General features: G+C 53.8%; 1 protein-coding gene and 1 non-coding gene across 4 annotated transcripts, besides 7 other annotated features; both read left to right on the top strand.

Annotated features, from left to right (window-relative positions):
* On the top strand, positions 121 to 12,692 carry NOL6 (nucleolar protein 6). Of its 3 annotated transcripts, none has more exons than NM_022917.5 (26): positions 121 to 256; positions 1,633 to 1,839; positions 1,925 to 2,041; positions 3,854 to 4,033; positions 4,378 to 4,546; positions 4,704 to 4,838; positions 4,924 to 5,087; positions 5,173 to 5,293; positions 5,479 to 5,537; positions 5,623 to 5,724; positions 5,900 to 6,015; positions 6,177 to 6,354; positions 6,529 to 6,651; positions 6,783 to 6,931; positions 7,058 to 7,133; positions 7,336 to 7,476; positions 7,620 to 7,737; positions 7,820 to 7,974; positions 8,148 to 8,311; positions 8,686 to 8,838; positions 9,069 to 9,166; positions 9,884 to 10,008; positions 10,125 to 10,214; positions 10,604 to 10,798; positions 10,911 to 11,012; positions 11,232 to 12,692. In NM_022917.5, exons 1-26 carry the CDS (start codon positions 203 to 205, stop codon positions 11,379 to 11,381), a joined length of 3,441 nt encoding a protein of 1,146 aa, NP_075068.2. In that variant the 5' UTR covers positions 121 to 202; the 3' UTR covers positions 11,382 to 12,692. The 3 variants fall into 3 exon arrangements, with proteins under 3 accessions (NP_075068.2, NP_631981.2, XP_047279696.1); XM_047423740.1 differs by lacking the exon at positions 121 to 256 and adding an exon at positions 1,308 to 1,536; NM_139235.4 differs by lacking the exons at positions 7,336 to 7,476; positions 7,620 to 7,737; positions 7,820 to 7,974; ... (5 more) ...; positions 10,604 to 10,798; positions 10,911 to 11,012.
* Positions 170 to 509: an enhancer, noted in NCBI's record as "active region_28297". NCBI's record gives its function as "activates an Ori minimal core promoter by ATAC-STARR-seq in GM12878 lymphoblastoid cells {active_cell/tissue: GM12878}" and the evidence as "EXISTENCE:reporter gene assay evidence [ECO:0000049][PMID:35858748]".
* MIR6851 (microRNA 6851) lies at positions 6,110 to 6,176 on the top strand. The gene has a single exon (NR_106910.1). It is a non-coding gene; the product is annotated as a microRNA 6851 (primary transcript).
* Positions 14,692 to 15,891: an enhancer, noted in NCBI's record as "P300/CBP strongly-dependent group 1 enhancer chr9:33458152-33459351 (GRCh37/hg19 assembly coordinates)". NCBI's record gives its function as "activates an origin of replication core promoter dependent on BRD2, BRD4, P300/CBP, MED14 and CDK7 cofactors, with strong dependence on P300/CBP, by STARR-seq in HCT116 cells {active_cell/tissue: HCT116}" and the evidence as "EXISTENCE:reporter gene assay evidence [ECO:0000049][PMID:35650434]".
* Positions 15,288 to 15,447: an enhancer, noted in NCBI's record as "active region_28296". NCBI's record gives its function as "activates an Ori minimal core promoter by ATAC-STARR-seq in GM12878 lymphoblastoid cells {active_cell/tissue: GM12878}" and the evidence as "EXISTENCE:reporter gene assay evidence [ECO:0000049][PMID:35858748]".
* Positions 20,900 to 21,194: an enhancer, noted in NCBI's record as "tiled region #5008; K562 Activating DNase matched - State 8:EnhW". NCBI's record gives its function as "activates a minimal TATA promoter and a strong SV40 promoter by Sharpr-MPRA in K562 cells {active_cell/tissue: K562}" and the evidence as "EXISTENCE:reporter gene assay evidence [ECO:0000049][PMID:27701403]".
* Positions 20,900 to 21,433: a biological region, named in NCBI's record as "Sharpr-MPRA regulatory region 5008".
* Positions 20,920 to 21,433: an enhancer, noted in NCBI's record as "H3K27ac-H3K4me1 hESC enhancer chr9:33452610-33453123 (GRCh37/hg19 assembly coordinates)". NCBI's record gives its function as "activates a minimal SCP1, AML or CMV promoter by ChIP-STARR-seq in naive H9 embryonic stem cells {active_cell/tissue: H9 hESC(naive)}" and the evidence as "EXISTENCE:reporter gene assay evidence [ECO:0000049][PMID:30033119]".
* Positions 20,968 to 21,097: an enhancer, noted in NCBI's record as "active region_28295". NCBI's record gives its function as "activates an Ori minimal core promoter by ATAC-STARR-seq in GM12878 lymphoblastoid cells {active_cell/tissue: GM12878}" and the evidence as "EXISTENCE:reporter gene assay evidence [ECO:0000049][PMID:35858748]".

Genomic DNA, 22,450 nt, shown 5'->3' with positions numbered 1-22,450 from the left:
AATGGGCGGGCCTTGAGACTGCCCGGCCAATGGCAAGCGAGTAATCGACTGATAATCCAATAGCTCTGGAGTGGGTGGAGTCCTGAGGAATTGGGGTGGGCTGGACTTGGGCCTGGAGTTAGGCATTTCCGCCCACGTGGGAAGCTATGAGGTATAGACCCGGCTAGAATCTGAAGTGCGGGAGAGTGCTGGACCCTGAGTGATGGGGCCGGCGCCAGCTGGAGAGCAGCTTCGCGGAGCGACTGGAGAGCCAGAGGTGGGTTGAGCCATCGGGGAGGAACAGAGGCTCAATGTGCGCTCCCTTGGCTGCAGGGCCCGAGATGGCGTGATCTGACAGCTTGCGGGTGAAAGCCATGCCGGCGGCCCATTCTGGAGGATGTTTCCAGCCAGTGGCACTGAGACAGGGCTTGCTAGGGGTGATGGAACCTGGCAGTATTTGGTTAGAAGCAGTGAAGCCGGTAGAGCCTCTGCTCTCTTCTGGAGCTCTGCACCTCAAAGTTGAAGAGACCCACACTTGGGTCGTTTCTTTTATTTGGTGGTCCTTGACGATAAGCGGGATCTTCCTCCACAGAATTTGTGTCCAGTTCTGTGCTCCCCGCTGTAGCGGAGGGCATACGGTGCCTCTCCTGGAGCGCTCCAGTAAGGCTCTCTGGGATGAGAGGCATCGTGGAGCGGATGGGCCCACGGCTGTAGGGGAAAAGGTTTGGGATCCTGCACGCTTGCCTTTGAAGCCTGCTCATAGTACGGGTGTACCAGTTGTGGAACCTCGAGTGAATAGTGGGACTTCAAGTGTCTTCAAGAATTATTTTGAGGATTTAATGACTTGCTAAATGTGTCCTCTGGGGTCCAGTCGGTTCTAGCTCCTTCCATCAGTGAGTATTTAGTGTAAACTGAGGCAGTCAGGTCTTCCTAGAGGAGGTGGAACCTGGCAGGATTTGGTTGGAGCGAGAATGGGAAAGACATTTGAGAAGTCCCAGGCCTATATCAGCAGAAGAGGAAACTTCCTGAAAATACAAGGGGCCTGGGCATTACTTAGGGCAGGGCTCAGTCAGCTTCTTTTTTTTTTTTTTTTTTTTGACAGTCTTGCTCTGTTGCCCAGGCTAGAATGCAATGGCACGATCTCGGCTCACTTCAGCCTCTGCCTCCTGGGTTCAAGTGATTTTCCTGCCTCAGTCTCCCGCGTAGCTGAGATTACAGGCATGTGCCACCACACCTGGCTAATTTTTGTATTTTTAATAGAGACGGAGTTTCCCCATGTTGGCCAGGCTGATTTCGAACTCCTGACTTCAGCTGATCCGCCCAGCTCCACCTCCCAAACTGCTGGGATTACAGGCGTCAGCCACCGTGTCCAGCCTGGGCCCAGTCAGCTTCTATCACTACCAATTCCAAACAGAGCTCCATGCTTGTGGTGTCAGGTAGACAGGAGAGCTCTTAACTCAAGGAATTTTCGGCTCAGCGCTCAGTGATGTTCATCCAAGTAACGATTCTCCTGAGTTTTACAAAATCTGACTCCTACTCAAAAGAGGGACAGAGCAGGTGAAGCTTTTACCCACAACCTATCATGGTGGCACTTTAGGCAGCAGATGCTAGATACCTATTACCTCAAAATGGCTTCTCCCTCACTGGCCACAGGTGATGGAACCAGCCCTGGAAGGCACAGGCAAAGAGGGGAAGAAAGCATCCTCCAGGAAGCGTACATTGGCTGAACCTCCAGCGAAGGGCCTCCTGCAGCCAGTGAAGCTCAGCAGGGCAGAACTGTACAAGGAGCCTACCAATGAGGAGCTTAATCGCCTTCGGGAGACTGAGATCTTGTTCCACTCCAGCTTGCTTCGTTTACAGGTACTGTTGAGTGTCTGCAGCTTTTGTTCGAGGTGTGTACCTGGGACCCTGAGGCTGATGGACTGTCTTCTACCCTCTCTTACAGGTAGAGGAGCTACTAAAGGAAGTAAGGCTGTCAGAGAAGAAGAAGGATCGGATTGATGCCTTCCTACGGGAGGTCAACCAGCGGGTTGTGAGGGTGCCCTCAGTCCCTGAGACAGAGGTAAGCAAGTGGCCTGGGGAACTGGGAAGCCCAAGAGAGACCTCCAGTGGGGGTATATCAAACAGGGGCCTTGCTGTTACTCTGTTTAAGGGTTGGGGTGCAGGGAGCTCATTCTCACAGCAAGGAAGCTTAGCTGGGAGCGTGGTCATTTGTGTATTCATTCAGCAAGTACTTCCATGCCTTGCAGTATTTGTGTTCTTAGGATATATCAGTAAATAATAGCCTATGCTGTAATGCTGAGGTTATAGTTAATAGATAAGCATAACAGGTAAACTCTATGGCAATGTTAGAATGTGGTAAACACTGGAAAAAGGAAAAAGTAGGACGAGCAATGTAAGGGGATTGGGAGTATTAGAGGATGGGAGTGGTTTACAAGTTTAAAGGGGGTGTTCACAAAGTAGGCCTTATTGAAGTGACATTTGTGTAAAGACTTGAAGTAGGTGAGTCAGCTATATAGATATCTAAGGGAATAAAAGCATTCCAGGAAGGGGGAACAGCCAGTACAAAGGCACAAAGGCAGGAATGTTCCAGTTACATTCCTTGGAATGAATGAGGAATACAGAAGGAGATGAGTTCAGAAAGGTGATGGGGAAAAGTAGCATATCATGCAGGGCATTGTGTCCCGAAGTAGGGACTTTGGCTGTTGCTCTGGGTGAGATGGGGAGCCACTGCTGGATTTTATTTTGCAGAACAGTGATGCCCTCTAACTTTTAAAAGTTCACGTTTTTGTTTTTGTTTTTGAGACGAAGTCTCGCTCTTGTCCTCCACACTGGAGTGCAATGGCGCGATCTCAGTTCACTGCAGCCTCCACCTCTCGGGTTCAAGCTATTCTCCTGCCTCAGCCTCCCGAGTAGCTGGGATTATCACACCCGGCTAATTTTTTTGGTATTTTTAGTAGAGAGGGGGTTTCACCATGTTGGCCAGGTTAGTTTTGAACTCCTGACCTCAGGTAATTTGCTCTCCTTGGCCTTCCAAAGTGCTGGGATTACAGGTGTGAGCCACCGTGCCCAGCCTAAAACGTTCACTTTTCCAGCCTTAAAAAGTTTAGTTTTAGAAAAATTTACTCCGGCTGTTGTGTCAAAAGTAGAATCGAGAGGGACAATGATGAGATTAGAGAGACCAGTTAGGAACTAGTCTAGGCACTGAGAAATGGTGGCTCCTCAAACTAGGGAGGAAAGTAGTGAAGTGATCCATTTCTTTCTTTTTTTTTTTTTTTTTTAAATCTTTTCCTCTCTCTGTTTTAAAAAAGTTTTCTTTTTAGAGAAGTGATCCATTTCTGAATACATTTTGGTAGTAAAATGGGTATTCTTTTTTTTTTTGAGACAGAGTCTTGCTCTGTTCCCCAGGCTGTAGTGCAGTGGTGCGATCTCGGCTCACTGCATGCTCCGCCTTCCGGGTTCACGCCATTCTTCTGCCTCAGCCTCCCCAGCAGCTGGGACTACAGGCGCACGCCGCCATGCCCGGCTAATTATTTTTGTAGAGACGGGGTTTCACCGTGTTAGCCAGGATGGTCTCGATCTTCTGACCTCGTGATCCGCCCACCTCGGCCTCCCAAAGTGCTGGGATTACAGGCGTGAGCCACCACGCCCGGCTCGTAAAATGGGTATTCTTAACAGAGCTAAGTTAAGGTGATTTAAGTGGTTTTGGCTTGAGCAACTCATATGGAGTTGTCTTAGCAAGGAAGACATAGTTATGGGAAGATTGGGAGTTTGGTTTCAAACATATCGATGTGTTAAAATGTCTTCTAGACATAAAGGGTACATGTGAGGAAGGCAGTTGAATCAGTATGTGTCCCTGTCTCTGCCCCCACAGCTCACTGACCAGGCATGGCTCCCAGCTGGGGTTCGAGTGCCCCTCCACCAAGTGCCCTATGCCGTGAAGGGCTGTTTCCGCTTCCTGCCCCCAGCCCAGGTTACTGTTGTGGGCAGCTACCTTCTGGGCACCTGCATCCGACCAGACATCAATGTGGATGTGGCACTGACCATGCCCAGGGTAAGGTCCAGGGTTTAGGGGATAGAGGCCCACCACCTGACTACCTACAAATCCTGGATCCCTCTTTCTTATCTGCCGCTTGCCAGGGGATTGAAGTCAGAATTCTAAATCAGAAGAGCAGACCATTGCAGGCATCCTGAAGGCAGCTTAGATCCCTCGGGCCAGTTGCTGTCCTTTTGGAGCTTTGCTCTCCAGATATGAGAACTGGGCCTAGTGTTGCTAACCGTGGCTCAGGCACTTCTGTCAGCAGAGGAGCCCTGGCTCTCTCACCTTGGTTTCACCTTGGCCCACAGCTCCACAAGCACTTATGTGCCTGGCCTTCTCTTCTCCCCTGGCCCCTCCAGGAAATCCTACAGGACAAGGACGGGCTGAACCAGCGCTACTTCCGCAAGCGTGCCCTCTACCTGGCCCACTTGGCTCACCACCTGGCCCAGGACCCCCTCTTTGGCAGTGTTTGCTTCTCCTACACAAATGGCTGCCACCTGAAACCCTCACTGTTGCTGCGGCCGCGTGGTGAGAGGCACACATTGGGCTGAGGGCATAGCATGGGATGGTAAATCTGGAGGAGAAGGCACAGAGGCACGGAGGCCTCAAGTATGGGGGGACAGGATGGGGAGCCCTCTGGCTCCAAGGGCTCCTGCAGAGTCTCAGCACTCACTGTCTCTGGCAGGAAAGGATGAGCGCCTGGTCACTGTACGTCTGCATCCGTGCCCTCCACCTGACTTCTTCCGCCCGTGCCGCTTGCTGCCAACCAAGAACAATGTGCGCTCTGCCTGGTACCGAGGGCAGAGTCCTGCAGGGGATGGTGAGCAGGCCCTGGTGTTGAGGTGGAGCTGGAGGGAAGAGGTGTGGGGACTTTTCCTCTCATGGCTTCCCTTTTCATCCCACAGGTAGCCCAGAGCCTCCTACCCCCCGCTATAACACATGGGTCCTGCAAGATACAGTTCTCGAGTCCCATTTGCAGCTGCTGTCAACCATTCTGAGTTCAGCCCAGGGCCTGAAGGATGGCGTGGCACTTCTGAAGGTCTGGCTGCGGCAGCGGGAGCTGGACAAGGTGAGTTGGGGGTGGCGCAGCCTCCCTACCTGAGCGCCTGTGTGATGGGCAGGCTCTGACCTCAGCCTCTCCCTGTCTCTTTCAGGGCCAGGGTGGGTTTACTGGGTTCCTTGTCTCCATGCTGGTTGTCTTCCTTGTGTCTACACGCAAGATCCATACCACCATGAGTGGCTACCAGGTCCTGAGAAGTGTCTTGCAGTTTCTGGGTGAGGCAACTAGGTGGGGAAAGGCCAGGGGCTCCACTCCTCCTGGGAATCCTCTCATCCCAGTAGCAGTCTTTTGGTGTTTTGCCATCAGACAGATGAGCAAACTGAATCGGCTGAGGGAGGGTGTCATTAGGGCTGGGTCCCCAGAAGGGGATACCTTCTAATACACTTGTGATTCACTTCAGCCACTACAGACCTGACAGTCAACGGGATCAGTTTATGTCTCAGCTCAGATCCCTCTTTGGTGAGTTGGGGAAGGGCCAGGTCTATGCCAGGAGGCCTGCAAGTAAGGTGCCAATCCTGACCTGCTTCTCTCTACACCCCCCAAGCCGGCCCTGGCTGACTTCCACCAGGCCTTCTCCGTTGTCTTCCTGGATTCCTCAGGCCATCTCAACCTCTGTGCTGATGTCACTGCCTCTACTTACCACCAGGTACCAATGGGCCCCCAATCTGTGTTCCCCTGATGTCTCAGCCCAGACTCTGTCCCTTTTGCAAGTACCAGAACCCCAGAAACTCCTCTTCAAAGAGTTAAGTTTAGGGCATGTCTCCTGGTCTAAGCCCTTGGATCAATGAAGGGCACAGGGATGGTCCCTTCTGTGGCTCCAGGTACAGCATGAGGCACGGCTGTCTATGATGTTGCTGGACAGCAGAGCTGACGACGGGTTCCACCTGCTGTTGATGACTCCCAAACCCATGATCCGGGCTTTTGACCATGTCCTGCAGTGAGTTTAGGGGTGACAGGGTATGTTGGCGGGTCCTGTCTCTTCGGGGCTACAGTGGTGGGGCAAAGGTCTTCAGACAGGTGCTCAGATCATTCAGGGAGGAGGTGGTACTAGGGGCCAGCAACCTGATTACCCCTCTTTGGCCCTTTGTACCCCTCCAGTCTCCGTCCACTGAGTCGCCTGCAGGCAGCGTGCCACCGGCTGAAGCTCTGGCCAGAGCTGCAGGACAATGGTGGGGACTATGTCTCAGCTGCTTTGGGCCCCCTGACCACCCTCCTGGAGCAGGGCCTGGGGGCTCGGCTGAACCTGCTGGCTCACTCTCGACCCCCAGTCCCAGAGGTGAGGTGGTGTAGGTTGGGGAGTTTGGGTCTGAGTTGGGCTGGATCCAGGGTCCCAAGAGACACAAAGGACACACCATTCCTCCAGCTAGGCGTTTCTAGCTAGCTAGAAAGTAGGTTTCTAGGCCAGGCTGGAGGATTGGAGGACTGAGCTCAGCCTTTTGAAATCCTGCAGTGGGACATCAGCCAAGATCCACCAAAGCACAAAGACTCTGGGACCCTGACCCTGGGACTCCTTCTCCGGCCTGAGGGACTGACCAGCGTCCTTGAGCTGGGTCCAGAGGCAGACCAGCCTGAGGTGGGGGACCCCAGCATGTACACTGGAAGGAATGGGGTGGCTCGTCCTCATGGCACCTGGACTGAAGCTTGTTGGGGAGGGTCCACAGAGCCCTTCCTTCCCCAGCTCTACTACCACCCTTGCCTCCTCAGGCTGCTAAATTCCGCCAGTTCTGGGGATCCCGCTCGGAGCTTCGGCGTTTCCAGGACGGAGCCATTCGGGAAGCTGTGGTCTGGGAGGCAGCCTCTATGTCCCAGAAGCGCCTTATTCCCCACCAGGTGGTCACCCACCTCTTGGCACTGTGAGTGTTGGCATCTGGATTCCAGAAGGCAGTGTGGGCTGGGGAGCCTTTTCAGGGGTCTGGCCCAGGCAGTTGAGCGAGAACATAGCCCCAAATTTTCTCACTGTGTCTCTGCCTCTTTTTCAGCCATGCTGACATCCCAGAAACCTGTGTCCACTATGTGGGGGGCCCCCTGGATGCACTTATCCAAGGCCTGAAAGAGGTAAGGGTCTTGGGGTCAAGGCTAGTGATTGTAGAGTAATCAATCTGCGGGGAGAGAGTCCTCTCAGCCTTGGCCAGCTTGCACTTCCTGGCATGTCCAGCAGGCGGCGGTGCTGGCTCTGCTGCAGCCTGAGCTGGGGCAGAATCCAGGTGAAGCTGGCCTTCTGTAGGGTCCAGCCTCCTGACCGTCTTCTCCCTCTCAGACCTCCAGCACAGGTGAGGAGGCCCTGGTAGCGGCGGTACGTTGCTACGACGACCTCAGTCGCCTACTGTGGGGGCTAGAGGGTCTCCCACTGACCGTGTCTGCTGTTCAGGGAGCTCACCCAGTGCTGCGCTACACAGAGGTGAGGTGCAACGGTGCAGGTGACCTTTCTGCTTAGTGGCCCCACCTCTGCTCCAGTCACCCAGTATTCCCCACTTCCAACTCCTGACTCTGGGCACTCCCTCCCAGTCCTAGGCCCATTCCTCAGCCCCTCTTCTTCCACAGGTGTTCCCACCAACTCCAGTCCGTCCAGCCTTCTCCTTCTATGAGACTCTGCGGGAGCGGTCCTCACTGCTGCCCCGGCTCGATAAGCCCTGTCCGGCCTACGTGGAGCCCATGACCGGTAAGAGGGCCCTTGGGAGGGAGTGGGAGGGATAGTTCCAGCTCCAGGCCACAGTATGAGACCTCTGACTCTTCTTCCTCAGTGGTTTGTCACCTGGAGGGCAGTGGCCAGTGGCCACAGGACGCTGAGGCCGTGCAGCGGGTCCGAGCTGCCTTCCAGCTGCGCCTGGCAGAGCTGTTGACACAACAGCATGGTCTGCAGTGCCGTGCCACTGCCACGCACACGGATGTCCTTAAGGTTAGGCTGGTGCAGGCAGATATGTCCCCAGGGAAGGGGGGCACCAGGGATGTCAGGGCGTGGAAGAAGACACCCCTGTGGGTACCACGCTGGGTAATAGGGCTGTAGGCCACAGAGTACTCCCGGGGTTCTGGGCTGACACATCCTTCTCTTTCCATACCTTCTTCCAACAGGATGGATTTGTGTTTCGGATTCGCGTGGCCTATCAGCGGGAGCCCCAGATCCTGAAGGAGGTGCAGAGCCCAGAGGGGATGATCTCGCTGAGGGACACAGCTGCCTCCCTCCGCCTTGAGAGAGACACAAGGCAGTTGCCACTGCTCACCAGTGCCCTGCACGGGTAAGGCCACTGACACAGCTTCTTCCTGTCTGTAGGCCCCCTCCTGCCCCCATTCTCCTCACCTAGCCACCTGTCTCTCCAGGGGCCAGATGGTATCATAGTTAGGGGTATGAGTTCTGGAGTCAGGCAGGTTCTGGAATCCTGGCTCTGCCACTTACTGACTGTGACCCTATGGTCAGATTTTCCTCCTTGGTCCCTATATTTGTCATCTGTAAAATGGAAATAACACTAGGGTCAACTTCTTGGTGCATTTCTTAAGAGAATATGAGATTACATATGTAACCTATTATCACTGAGGCTGGCCTTGGGTAGGGGCTGGATGAACAGTGGCAGTGGGGCCCTGAGTCTCGCTGACACTCCCCTTCTCTCTGCAGACTGCAGCAGCAGCACCCAGCCTTCTCTGGTGTGGCACGGCTGGCCAAGCGGTGGGTGCGTGCCCAGCTTCTTGGTGAGGGTTTCGCTGATGAGAGCCTGGATCTGGTGGCCGCTGCCCTTTTCCTGCACCCTGAGCCCTTCACCCCTCCGAGGTGATTCCCTCCACTTTTTCCCCAGCTGAGAAGTTTCCTTGCGGCCAGCCATCATCCTTCGTGCTGCACCCTAAGTCTACATGGGAATGGGTGGTTGAGCAAGTGGCAGAAGGGGTTCTAAGATGCCCTGCCCTGCCAATCCACACCAGGGGGTCTGAGCTCCATAGCCTGAGAGAAGCCTGGGGATATGTGGCTGGGCCCTGGATTCTTTGCTTACTCCAGCCCTTTAGTTCCCCCCAGGTTGGCTTCCTTCGATTCCTTTTCTTGGTATCAACGTTTGATTGGAAGAACAACCCCCTCTTTGTCAACCTCAATAATGAGCTCACTGGTAAGTGGTAGAACAGGGGTCAGACTGCTGGAAGAACAGCTCTTTATGGATTGCAGGCAAGGGTTTCCCTGGCAGTGTTAGGTTTTCTCTGTGCCTCCCCAGCCCCAGATGTCTAAGCCTGACATGAAGAAGAGGTCCAGGTGAACAGCCTGACCATTATGACATGGTTTGCTCTTAATTGTCAGAGACAGAATGATAGGGTGGTAAGCAAGCTACCTGGCGGGGGGCTGTGGAAGGAAGAGGAGAATAGAAGGGGGATCCTGAATACCACGTAAGAAGTATTAGGGCACGGAGCTAGGAAGTGTAGCACAGATACTCAGACCTCTTGGTGGGGGTGGGAGTGGTGATTTCTGGTTGTAACGTGAGGCACTCGGTCTCTGCAGAGAGCAGGGTGTCAGGTTCCTAATTCCCCAGGTGTGTGGAAGCCCATGGTGGGAGGGGGCCAGGGGCAAGACTCAGCTTGTGCAGGCCCGGAAACCAGACTGGGGGTGCCAAGCAGTGGAAAATTTTGCCTCTGGGCTGAGGTTGGGCGATTAATGCCCCACCCAGTTGAGGCAAATGCGATGTCCCTTTCGTCACCTTTGCCACTTGGTGGGGGGGAGTGTTGAAAAATACCTGTGATGAGCAGCCGTTGGGGGCACCGTAGGAGGACCTGGGGGAGTAGAGGGTGTCTTACAGGGAGGAGCAGGCTGACCCAGGACCCATTCTTGTCTCTAGTGGAGGAGCAGGTGGAGATCCGCAGTGGCTTCCTGGCAGCTCGGGCACAGCTCCCCGTCATGGTCATTGTTACCCCCCAAGACCGCAAAAACTCTGTGTGGACACAGGATGGACCCTCAGCCCAGGTTCAACCCCATACCTGCCCCCTAATGTGTGGTTTTCTTCCCAAGGAAAAAGCAGGCCCAGCCTGACCTGGGAGAGACCCACTTCAGTTCCAGTCTGATGTGTCTGTACCCCGCAGATCCTGCAGCAGCTTGTGGTCCTGGCAGCTGAAGCCCTGCCCATGTTAGAGAAGCAGCTCATGGATCCCCGGGGACCTGGGGACATCAGGGTAAGCTTCTGACCAGCAGTGACTCCAGGGCCTCTGGGGATTCTGTCTTTGGAAGTTCAGCGTTCAGGGATCTCACAGGAGACCCGGTCCCCTTGTTTGGTGAGACTGAACAGAGGAGGTGTTGAAGCTGCTGTGGTGCCTGGGGTGGCAGAGCCTGGGGAACCTGGGTTCCATCTGGGTCTCCTGTTTCTAGCCTGTGCTCCTTCTGCCGGGCTATGCAACAGCTGTTTGCTCTGTGGGTCTTGGTGCTTCAGTCTTCAAATGGGCAGGTGGGCCCATAGAGGGTGGTCAGATGGAAGGAGGAAACCAAGGTGGGCGTGTGGAGAGGTTTGTGGTCCAGTTCCTCAGTCAAGGGGGTCCTGCTGACCCCTCCTTCTCCCCTTCCTTAGACAGTGTTCCGGCCGCCCTTGGACATTTACGACGTGCTGATTCGCCTGTCTCCTCGCCATATCCCGCGGCACCGCCAGGCTGTGGACTCGCCAGCTGCCTCCTTCTGCCGGGGCCTGCTCAGCCAGCCGGGGCCCTCATCCCTGATGCCCGTGCTGGGCTATGATCCTCCTCAGCTCTATCTGACGCAGCTCAGGGTTGGTCCTAAACAGCTGAATGACCTGGGGAGGGGACTTCCAGGTGAAGCTGAGGCTGTGGAGGAGCTCTTAAATGCCTGCCTATAATCTTCTCTGTTCTGTCCCTTTCTAGGAGGCCTTTGGGGATCTGGCCCTTTTCTTCTATGACCAGCATGGTGGAGAGGTGATTGGTGTCCTCTGGAAGCCCACCAGCTTCCAGCCGCAGCCCTTCAAGGTGTGCTGGCTGGTGACAGCTGTGTTCCTGAGTGTGTGCACGTGGTTCTGTGTGGGCATGCATGTCTGTGTGTAGTCTGTCCTATGGGCAAACCCGTGTCAGGTGCGGAGTGTATGGGCTTGTGTTTCTATCCCCACCACCCCCACTCTGTACCCAGCTTGGTGTCTCTGGGTGTGCCGCTGTGACACTCAACCCACATCTCTTCTCTGATTTCCCCAGGCCTCCAGCACAAAGGGGCGCATGGTGATGTCTCGAGGTGGGGAGCTAGTAATGGTGCCCAATGTTGAAGCAATCCTGGAGGACTTTGCTGTGCTGGGTGAAGGCCTGGTGCAGACTGTGGAGGCCCGAAGTGAGAGGTGGACTGTGTGATCCCAGCTCTGGAGCAAGCTGTAGACGGACAGCAGGACATTGGACCTCTAGAGCAAGATGTCAGTAGGATGACCTCCACCCTCCTTGGACATGAATCCTCCATGGAGGGCCTGCTGGCTGAACATGCTGAATCATCTCCAACAAAACCCAGCCCCAACTTTCTCTCTGATGCTCCAGCATTGGGGCAGGGGCATGGTGGCCCATGTAGTCTCCTGGGCCTCACCATCCCAGAAGAGGAGTGGGAGCCAGCTCAGAGAAGGAACTGAACCCAGGAGATCCATCCACCTATTAGCCCTGGGCCTGGACCTCCCTGCGATTTCCCACTCCTTTCTTAGTCTTCTTCCAGAAACAGAGAAGGGGATGTGTGCCTGGGAGAGGCTCTGTCTCCTTCCTGCTGCCAGGACCTGTGCCTAGACTTAGCATGCCCTTCACTGCAGTGTCAGGCCTTTAGATGGGACCCAGCGAAAATGTGGCCCTTCTGAGTCACATCACCGACACTGAGCAGTGGAAAGGGGCTATATGTGTATGAATAGACCACATTGAAGGAGCACAATGCCCTCCTGTGTTGATGCCACTTCCCAGGGTGGAGACAGTGGAAAAGAACCGAGGACAGGAAAGGATTGGGTAGGTGAAGGGGTCAGGGGACTGGTAGTCACCCAATCTTGGAGAGGTGCAAAAAGCACTGGGGGCTACCCGTTAGCTGCATCTGCCCTGGCTGTTTGCCCGTTCATGTCACAAACTGCCACTACTATGTACCTGCAGTGGGGTTGCAGAGATGGGGGAGACTCAAGTCTTACTCCCCAGGAGCTCCCAGGGCCCAAGGAGGAGAATGCTGCCTCCTTTCAGTCTGGTCTACACCCACTTTCTGGTAGCCTCTCTGCTTCCTGTAATTCTGGCTGTTTTTCCAGACTCAGCTCAAATAGTGCCCCTCCTTAAGCCCATCCCTCGCCCCCAGCCTGAGGTGATCTTTCCCTCCTCTGAACTATTAGAGCAGTTACTGTCTGTTCAGTTCGTTTGGCAGGCACACACAGTGGCATAAATTCTATTGTTTTGAACTCTGATTTAAAATTAAATTGCAGCTGGGCGTGGTGGCTTATGCTTGTAATCCCAACACTTAGGGAGTCAGGAGAATCACTTGAGCTCAGGAGTTCTAGACCAATCTGGGCAACAGAGAGACCCCATCTCTTTTAAATAAAAAGTTAAATTGCTTAATTTCCCCCGTATTCCTGGCCTGTCTGCCCCTTTCACATAATTTTAACCTGGTTTCTTGTATGTAAACTCCTTGAGGGCAAGAACATGTTTGAACATAGACTTCTTCGTGTCCTTCCTAGCACCTATTACAGTGCTTTGCTCAGGGGCCATCCAGCACAGGCAGATGGGGGGCAGAGAAGCCCACTGGAAGATTGCAGAGTAAAGGGAATCCATTTGTGAAATCTGCCTGCAAGAAGTGGGTGGTGACGGTGAAAGAGAAAGCCTAAGAGATTATAGAGTTGACGTTTATTGAGGGCTTAATAGGTGCCAGGCGGGGTTAGGTGGTGGTATCCGTATCTTATGTGCGGAAACTTGTCGTACAGTCATAACGAGCCGTATGGAGTAGGTACTTTCATTTACCTTCATTTTCTGAGTGAGAGAACAGGCTCAGCGCAGGGGCCCGTTGTGTGAGGAACTTTGATGCCTGGCTAGCAAGCTCCATCCTCAAGATGAGAAGCTGCATGTGGGAACTCTGGCCTCCAGTTCTGTCTCAACTGTTGGTCTTTGTGAATCACTGCTTGCCTCTACTGTCACTGCCATGGAGCAGCTCAGCCCAGGGTTGAAATTAGAATAGGGAGGGAATAAATTGGCTGGCTGTGTGAGCTGGAGTCCACATCTCTCCCTCTGCTATTCATTCTTGAGCTTCAAGCATCAACGTGCCAGGCTTTATTTTCCAGGAGTGAAATGTAATCCCATCCCTTGTGGAGCCCCGTGGTCCATGGTCACCCTTGGCTCTTCCTCTTGCCTCCCTTGGTCCCTTGGACTATTTGTCCACAGTCACTCCATGGGCTCCTGGGAGGGCCAGGGTTGCTGGAAGCCTAGCAGGAATCCTTATGTGTGAGCAAGTGTACACAGGATAATGGTTAAGCATCCTCATGGATGTGCCTGCCTTGGCGGGTCTCTGCCTTTAACTTTGCAAGTGTGGCAGATCACCTGTTTCATCTCCAGGTCAGTTGTCTGTAGCTTCAGGCCCTTCACAAACCCAGCTCTTGATTATCCCCATGGGGGAGGGGGTGGAATCTGCCCCCAGGCAGGACTGTAGCAGGTGGCTCTAAGAGGTGCAGTTACCAGTCCCAATGGGAAATGAGCCCTGGCCCTGCCACCTCATGTGGCCCTGTGCAAATCACTTACCTTTGCTGGGTTCAGTCTTCCAACCCATAGAATAGGCATGGTAATGGCTTTGTCAGCTGACCATTGCCCAGTGTGGCAAGGAAAGAGGGCTGAGAATTTAGAACCCTAAGGCGCTGCACCATACCTTCCTGTTCTCCCTGCTCCAGTTCCACTGGGGAGGTGGCTGGGCAAGAAGCCCTGGGTCCAATTTCTTTCTTTCTTTCTTTTTTTTTTTTTGAGACTGAGTTTCACTCTTGCCCAGGCTGGAGTGCAATGGCATGGTCTTGGCTCACTGCAACTTCCGCCTCCCAGGTTCAAGCGATTCTCCTGCCTCAGCCTCCCGAGTAGCTGTGATTATAGGCGCCTGCCACCACGTCCTGCTGATTTTTTGTATTTTTAGTAGAGACGGGGTTTCGCCATGTTGGCCAGGCTGGTCCCGAACTCCTGACCTCAGGTGATCCACCCACCTCAGCTTCCCAAAGTGTTGGAATTACAGGCGTGAACCACTGTGCCTGGCCCTAATTTCAGTCCCTCACAGTTACAGCTCCAACCTGTTTTCCTCAGGTTTTCTCTGGAAAACAGGTGAGCAAACTAGTGTTCAAGATGACTGCCCTAGGCTCCTTTGCCCCAGCCCAGGATGACTCTTGTCTAGCCACAGAGGCCCCAGCTCCAGAGTAGGGAGGTGCTCAGGCTTTAGCTGAGGGGCCAGGGGAGGGGAGGGTGGAGATGGGCAGTCAGGAACCAGAACCCCAGGGGAAGGGAAGGGGAAAAGCCTAGCAGGAAGCCTTATGTGTGAGCAAGTGTACACAGGATAATGGTTAAGCACCCTCATGGATGTGCCTGCCTTGGTGGGTCTCTGCCTTTAACTTCACAGGTGGACAGAGACAGAGTGGATCTTAAGTATGGCATGATTTGTCTGTTCTGTGTGTGGTGCACGTGCACGCCTCTGTATGCACTAGTCTGTCTGTCTGTCGGTATTCACCTCCAGCTCTGGTTTGCTGCAAAAGGGGAACTCTGCCCTGTTTTTTAGAGGGCAGGTTAGAAAAAGCTCTCAAGTCAGAGGCAGGGACCCTGGATTTCTTCCCCTGGCTTTAAATGAAGCTTTCTTCTTGGGGTTTCACTTTTCCCAGTTTTTTTTGTTTTGTTTTTTTTTTAAAGAGACTGGGGGTCTCACTATGTTGCCCAGGCTGGTCTCAAATTCCTGGGCTCAAGTGATCCTCCCATCTTGGCCTCCCAAAGTGCTAGGATACAGAGTTTCCCGTGTTCTGACTGACCTAAGCCTCATTTGGTGAACTCAACAAGGGCCCTCCTTTCTGGCTATGGCATCTGACAACCTCCTCTACCCCCGAATCCTGTTAGCTGAAGACCCTATTTTCCTCTGCCCAGCTCCATACTTTGGGGGAGGAAAGCAAGAACCCCAAGCCTAAGGGGTCCATATGGCATGTTATATCAATGAAATCCTCAGGGCTGCTCAGTCCCTGACCTATTAAGTCAGATTTAGGCTAGCCAGCCCCCCTCCCCCAAGTTTACATGTAACCCCCCCAACATCCGGTACTTGCTTTATGAGTCACAGATTAATCCAGGTGAGTGATAAGGGCGAGGGGAAGCCTGGGGCACGTGAGTCACCCGTACCCTTCACAGGAAAGGCCAATCTGCTCATCTACCCCTGAGAGGGAGAAGGAGGAGGCATCTCACACTGCCCCAGGGAACCAAGGAGGACCAAGAAGAAGGGTGTTTCAAACCAGAGGGAGACTTCCTCTTCTACTTCAGAAATGAATGGGGAGTATAATTTTCTGGTTTATATCAGGCCAAGATGTGTAGGAACTTGTCTAGGGTCACACAGGAACTTGTGGGGTACAGCTACTGAGAATCTAGGTGTCCTGGCTCCAGGCAAGCCACCTGCTTGAACTTGGCTTTCCTGGGGCCAAGGGGTGGAGTGTGGAGGAAGAAAGGACTAGAAACGCCTGAGCTGCAGACCTCTCCAGTGGGGCAGGGGAGTAGGGAAAAGCCAGGAGCCTCACCTGTTTTGGGCCACTTGCCAGCCTAACCCCTTCTCCTTCTTCCCAAGCCTTTTATTTATTTATTATTATTATTTTTTTTTTTATTTGAGACGCCCAGGCTGGAGTGCAGTGGCCCGATCTCGGCTCACTGTAACCTCCGCCTCCCAGGTTCAAGCGATTCCCCTGTCTCAGTCTCCCAAGTAGCTGGGATTACAGACACTCGCCATCATGCCTGGCTAATTTTTGTAGTTTTGTAGAGACAGGGTGGGGGGCGGTTTCACCATGTTGCCTAGGCCGGTCTTGGAACTCCTGACCTCAGGTGATCCACACACCTCAGCTTCCCAAAGTGCTGGGATTACAGGCATGAGCCACTGTGCCCGGCCTGCCCAAGGCTTTTGAATGCAGCTTTTATCAGCAGCCCAGAGGAGCAGGGTGAAGGATATGGAGAGTGGGGTTGTGCAGGGAGAGAGGGAGTATGAGCATTCTGGTCAACCTCAGCTCAAGCCTAAATCTCCTCTGTTCCCTGGCCTGGGAGCTCAAAAGCAGGACCCAGCTCTCCTCTATTCTCCCAGATTGGAAACTTCCACAGGTCAGGGCTTGGGTCTCCCCAGGACTGAAGAGGCCAAGGTTGGGCCCTGTCTGGAGGGGCAAGGAAGCACTCAGACTGAGCCCCAGTTCCACTTGATGACCAACGGTTTGGATGAAGAGGATAGTTATGGCCAGGCACGGTGGCTCACGCCTGTAATCCCAGCACTTAGGGAGGCCGAGGCGGGCAGATCATGAGGTCAGGAGATCGAGACCAGCCTGGCCAATATGGTGAAACCCCGTCTCTACTAAAAATACCAAAAGTAGCTGGGTGTGGTGGCACGTGCCTGTAATCCCAGCTACTCAGGAGGCTGAGGCAGGAGAATTGCTTGAACCCGGGAGGCAGAGGTTGCAGTGAGCTGAGATTGCATCACTGTACTCCAGCCTGGGTGACAGAGCAAGACTCCATCTCAGAAAAAAAAAAAAGAAAATTATGGCATCCTGCCCTCTCCCCAGTCTCCCTCCACAACCTCCACAATGCCCCCACCCCCATCTCCCAACCTATGGGGGTCCCTCTGGAGCCTAGTTCTCACTGACCCCCAGTCTCGAGACCAGGAAGTCATTCTTGAAGTCTGACTTTGGAATCTCCTGCTGCAGCCTGTTCCCTCCCCTGGATTCTTCCCCTGACTCCTCTCACCTGGGGTGGGTTGCTAGTGGCTCCCCTATAATTAGCCACCAGACGGGGCTGGCCAGAGGGTAGAGTGTACTGGGGCTCATGCACAACCATCACCTAATGCATTGCCAAATGCATAGCCTCCTTCTGCCACCTCCTCCCCACCCTTCACCCGCACCCCCTGCCCTTAGACCACAGGCCTTTTGGAGAACCATTGTCTTACTGGCCTCTCGGTCCCCACCTGAGGTTCCTGTCCACCCAGTTCTGCCCCCTTGAACTTCTTCAGCTGCTTGCCAGCTTGCCCTCCTCACTCTGCCTCCTAAACCCTTCTCCCTCCCCACAGCCATTGCCGGCCATCTGGCCTCGCTTCCTCCTCCATGGCCTCCCTCCCAGGCTTCCAGCCTCTGTCTCTCTCTTCCAACCCATCTTCCACTCAGCAGCTGGAGGGGTCCTTCTAAATGGTAGATTGAAACCATGTCACTTACCTGCTTAAAACCTTCAGGGCTGCCATTAGCCACTGTTCTTAGTGGTGTCACATTTGTCAATTGTAATCTCGTTCAGAACCCTGATGTAAGGCTGGGCGCAGTGGCTCACACCTGTAATCCCAGCACTTTGGGAGGCCGCAGCAGGTGGATCACCTGAGGTCAGGAGTTTGAGACCAGCCTGACCAACATGGTGAAACCCCGTCTCTACTAAAACAAAATTGGCTGGGTGTGGTGGTGCATGCCTGTAATACCAGGTACTTGAGAGGCTGAGGCAGGAGAATCGCCTTGAAAAGGAGAATCACTTGAAAACCTGGGAGGTGGAGGTTGCAGTGAACTGAGATCGTGCCATTGTACTCCAGCCTGGGCAACAAGAGCGAAACTCAGTCTCAAAAAAAAAAAAAAAAAGAGCCCTCATGTAAAATGGTTAAGATGTTTCGGTTGAAGCAGGAGGTGGGGCCAAGGCTCTGCCTTATCGGCTTCCTTCTCTCCACCTCCAGCTGCAGCAGTCCCTATAACAGCTTCCTTAGAACCTCAGGGCTTAACAAATATCTAAGTTCAAATACCTCTTGGCCCTGGGTAAGCTTCTGCCCATCAGTATGGAACCCAAGGCCCTTCCCACACTACCTGGGTCCTTTCCTCGCCTCCTTGCTGCTGATCTCGTCCTGCCTAGGCAGGCAGTCAGCCCTGCTAGGGTCTGGCCCTGCAGTCTCTCACCTGGAAAACCCTCCGTAAAATCCCCAGCCAAATGTTTCTTCCTCTAGTAAGCCCTCTGATTGTCCCAGCCCAAAGGATGCTCCATGTGCCCTTCCTGGCTGCAGGGGCCAGGCTAATGCTGGGCCTCAGTTTAGGCTACCTAGGAAGCCTGTGAGCTTTGTTTCTTTTCTTTTCTTTTTCTTTTTTTTTTTTTTTAAGATGGAGTTTCACTCTTGTTGCCCAGGCTGGAGCGCAACGGCGTGATCTCAGCTCACGGCAACTTCCGCCTCCCGGGTTCAAGTGACTCTCCGGCCTCAGCCTGCTGAGTAGCTGGGAACACAGGCGTGTGCCACCACACCTGGCTAATTTTGTATTTTTAGTAGAGATGGGGTTTCTCCATGTTGGTCAGGCTGGTCTTGAACTCCCAACCTCAGGTGATCCACCCACCTCCCAAAGTGCCTCCCAAAGTGCTGGAATTACAGGTGTGAGCCACCACGCCTGGCTGAAATTTCTTTTTTCTTTTCCTTTTATTTTATTTTATTTTTTGAGACGGAGTCTTGCTCTGTTGTCTGGGTGGAGTGCAGTGGTGCAATCTCGGCTCACTGCAACCTCTGCCTCCCAGGTTGAAGCGATTTTCCTGCCTCAGCCTCAGCCTCCTGAGTAGCTGGGACTACAGGTGTGCACCACCACGCCCAGCTATTTTTGTTTGTTTGTTTTTAGTAGAGAAGGGGTTTCACCATGTTGGCCAGGATCATCTCAATCTCTTGACCTCATGATCCGCCCGCCTCAGCCTCCCAAAGCGCTGGGATTATAGGCGTGAGCCACTGCGCCCAGCCACCTGTGAGCTTTCTTTTCCTCCTCCATCTCTGGTCCTGACCCCTCATCCTCTTAAGCAACCCTCTCCTAGTTCCAGAAGCTTTCCTGCCAGTGAGGATGGAGATAGGAAATCAGAAAACCTAGGGGCTCCAGGCATCCTGAGGTGTGAACCAGAGCCCTCCAGACCCCCTAGGCCTGTCACAGTGATGACTGGTCTGTGTCAACTCCATATCACTAACTCCCTTCCCCCTGAGGCTGGCATGGGGCAGGCCCAGCAGTTTATCTCTAGACCTCGCAACAGATGCGCATCTCCTATCTCTGGTTTTTATAAACACGTGACCCAGACCCACAGCCTGGCCCAGACAGGGGCACACAAGGAGATGCACACATGAGCCTCCCAAGTAGCTGGGATTACAGGCGTGTGCCACTACGCCCAGCTAATTTTTGTATTTTTAGTAGAGACGGGGTTTCACTATGTTGGTCAGGCTGGTCTTGAACTCTTGACCTCGTGATCTGCCCGCCTTGGCCTCCCAGAGTGCTGGGATTACAGGTGTGAGCGACCACGCCCAGCCTAGTACAGTTTTCAAAGCCGGAAACATACAATCTTCTTTGATTCTTACAAGGGCCCCACCGGGAGGTGGGGGCCCCCTTCAACTGAAACCTCCAGGTGACAGATGAAGACACTGAGAGAGACTCTGTGGGGGTGGGAGAAGAGAGCCATCTAGGTGACCTTACTGTTCAGTGGCCAAGCCAAGCCTGGAGCTCAGATTCTGGGTGTGCAAGAGAGTTTTGTCCCCATCAGCCTAGTCCCTAGGACTCTGCACTCTTAGCCTCTAGGTCTAAGCCTCCATCCTATCGCTCTGCTGTCTCAACATGACCCTTAGCTGTCCTAAACCCTCAAAGGCTGCTGAGGGCAGGTCAGGGACACCAGGCTGTGAACCCAGAGTCCCCAGGGTATGGGTCAAAGGTTGATTCTTCTCAAGGCCCAGCTGGACATCCAGCTGAAGGTGCCCAAGGCTGGCGGAGTTTGTATTCATGGGCTCTCCCCCAGGTCACCCATTTAAAGATGGAAGTAGCTGCGTTGGCGCAGGAGGAGGAGTCTGGGGACACTCTTAATAGGGCAATTCATCTCAGCTCTCTGCTCCTGATTCCAGTCCACAGCCAGCTCCCCACCCTTGAAGCCTAGATGCAGGAACAGTTTTCAACAGTGGCCTAAGAGTGGGAGCACACTCTGGAAAGCAGGGTTGAGCATGGAGGGACTCAATGGGGTTCTGTGCCCGGGGTCCCTGCTCTCCCTGTGCCTCAGACCTGTGGCTCCCTAGTCTTTCTGCCCTGTTTACCTGTCCTCCCCATCCCTATGGGGTTTGAATCCCGGATCAGCACTCAGTGGCTGAGTGACCTCAGCAGGTGACTTCTCTCTAAATCTCAGTTTTGTCATCTGTGAAATGGGGAAAATACACTCATTTCTGGGAGCTGTTTTGCAAAGTGGGAGGAAGTGCTTCCTAAACTAGAATATGTCTGCATGTCTGCTTTGCTCTGCCCCTCCCCCACCCCACTCCAATGCTCTGGAAGAGATTAGGGGTTTGGGGGTACTCTAGAGTGAGTAGCTTCCTATGTCTCCACCCCCACCTCTGACTCACTAACAACAAGGAAGGCCCAGGTCTCTTTCTTTGCTGGTTCGGGCTGCTCCCATTCAAGCAGAAAGAGTTTGGGGTCAGGAAATGAAAGGTGTGGCACTCCCACCCCTTAAAAGGGCCCCAGCCAGCCCCTCTGGTCCAGCAGGCTGAGACTTGCATCCTTAGCCCTTCCCTTGCCTGGGAACCCACTCCTCCAGCTCTGACCTTAAAGAAGTCATGGGCTCCCACGGGGTGGATGGGGATGTTCAGGCCCCTTCCCTGGCTCAGCTCCTCCCACCCAGGTGAGACACAGGCCTTGCTCAAGATGCCCTGGGAGGAGGGGGAACCTCCTCATCAGCCTCCTCCCAGAGCACCCAGGAGGGCTGGCTCCCAGCCTGCACTCAGCCCTGGCTCTCCTTCCCAAAGCACAAGCGGAAGCCCTGAGGACCCTGGGCAAGCTGTGACTCAGAGGGCTGGGGCCTCACCAAGCTCAGTCTCTTCTCTGTGGAGCCATGCTTTCTTCCGCCTTTGGCTCTAGGGGGCGCCAACCACATTGACTACAAAGGGAATGCTGCTCCCAGGGTCGCAAAATGGAGCAGTGGGCTTCTGCCCCCCCGAGTCAGGCCAGTCCGGTGCTTCTGCACAGGCATCCTCAGATCCTGACCCCTTTCTGTCCCAGGTGACCCAAGGAGGGCTGACAGGAATAAGGGGCCCATGGAAAGTACTGCATCCTTCCCCTTCCTCCAGCCAGAGTCCTCTCACATCCATTAAGAAGAAGCACGAAGATCTACCCATGTCTTCTCAGTTCCAACTCTAGCCACTCCAATGTGTATGTGTACGTATATGTATGAACATGCGTGTACACATGAGGTATGGACATGAATGAGTTTGGTGAGAGTTCACGGAGTCATGGTCCTGAAGGTTGGGCCCTGATGGAGGGGGTGGGGAACAAGGACATTGAGACCCAGCCCTTGTTCTGCTAGCTAAACCATGTGCCTTGGCATGCAGCTGCATTGACTGGAGGGGGTTGCAAAGATACTCTATGGTGAGCTGCAGTCCAGGATTATAGATAGACACATACATGCATGCATACATGGGTGAGTACAGGTAGCTGCATATGTATAAATAAATGCTGCTCAACGTATATAAGACAGACAAATCCATAATTGTGTGTGTAACTAGCTACTTCCTGGTGCAGCCCACGAGAAAACCCATGTGAGGTGAATGCAGACAGATGTGTGTGCAGGTTGCTTTTTTGTTTATTTGCTTTTTGAGACGGAGTCTGTCTCTGTCGCCCAGGCTGGAGTGCAGTGGTGCGATCTCTGCTCACTGCAACCTCAGCCTCCTGGGCTCAAGCGATTCTCTGGCCTCAGCCTCCCGAGTAGCTGGGATTACAGGTGCCTACCACCATGCCCGGCTAATTTTTTTTTGGCGAGGGGATAGAATTTCGCTCTTGTTGCCCAGGCTGGAGTGCAATGGCACGATCTCGACTCACTGCAAGCTCTGCCTCCCGAGTTCAAGCGATTCTCCTGCCTCAGCCTCCCAAGTAGCTGGGACTACAGGCGCACACCACCACACCTGGCTAATTTTTGTATTTTTAGTAGAGATGGGATTTATCCATGTTGGCCAGGCTGGTCTCGAACTCCTGACCTCAGGTGATCCATCTGCCTTGGCCTCCCAAAGTGCTGGGATTATAGGAGCAAGCCATCGTACCCGGCCTAATTTTTGTGTTTTTAGTGGAGACAGGGTTTTACCATGTTGGCCAGGCTGGTCTTGAACTCCTGAGCTAAAATGATCTGCCTGGCTTGGCCTCCCAAAATTCTGGGATTACAGGCATGAGCCACTGTGCCCGGCTCCAGGCCAGGTTCCTTTTTTTTTTTTTTTTTTTTTTTTTTGTGAT

This window comes from Homo sapiens, chromosome 9 (assembly GCF_000001405.40).
Source record: "Homo sapiens chromosome 9, GRCh38.p14 Primary Assembly".
Classification (NCBI taxonomy): Eukaryota; Metazoa; Chordata; class Mammalia; order Primates; family Hominidae; genus Homo; species Homo sapiens.
This window is presented reverse-complemented; position numbering and strand designations above follow the sequence as displayed.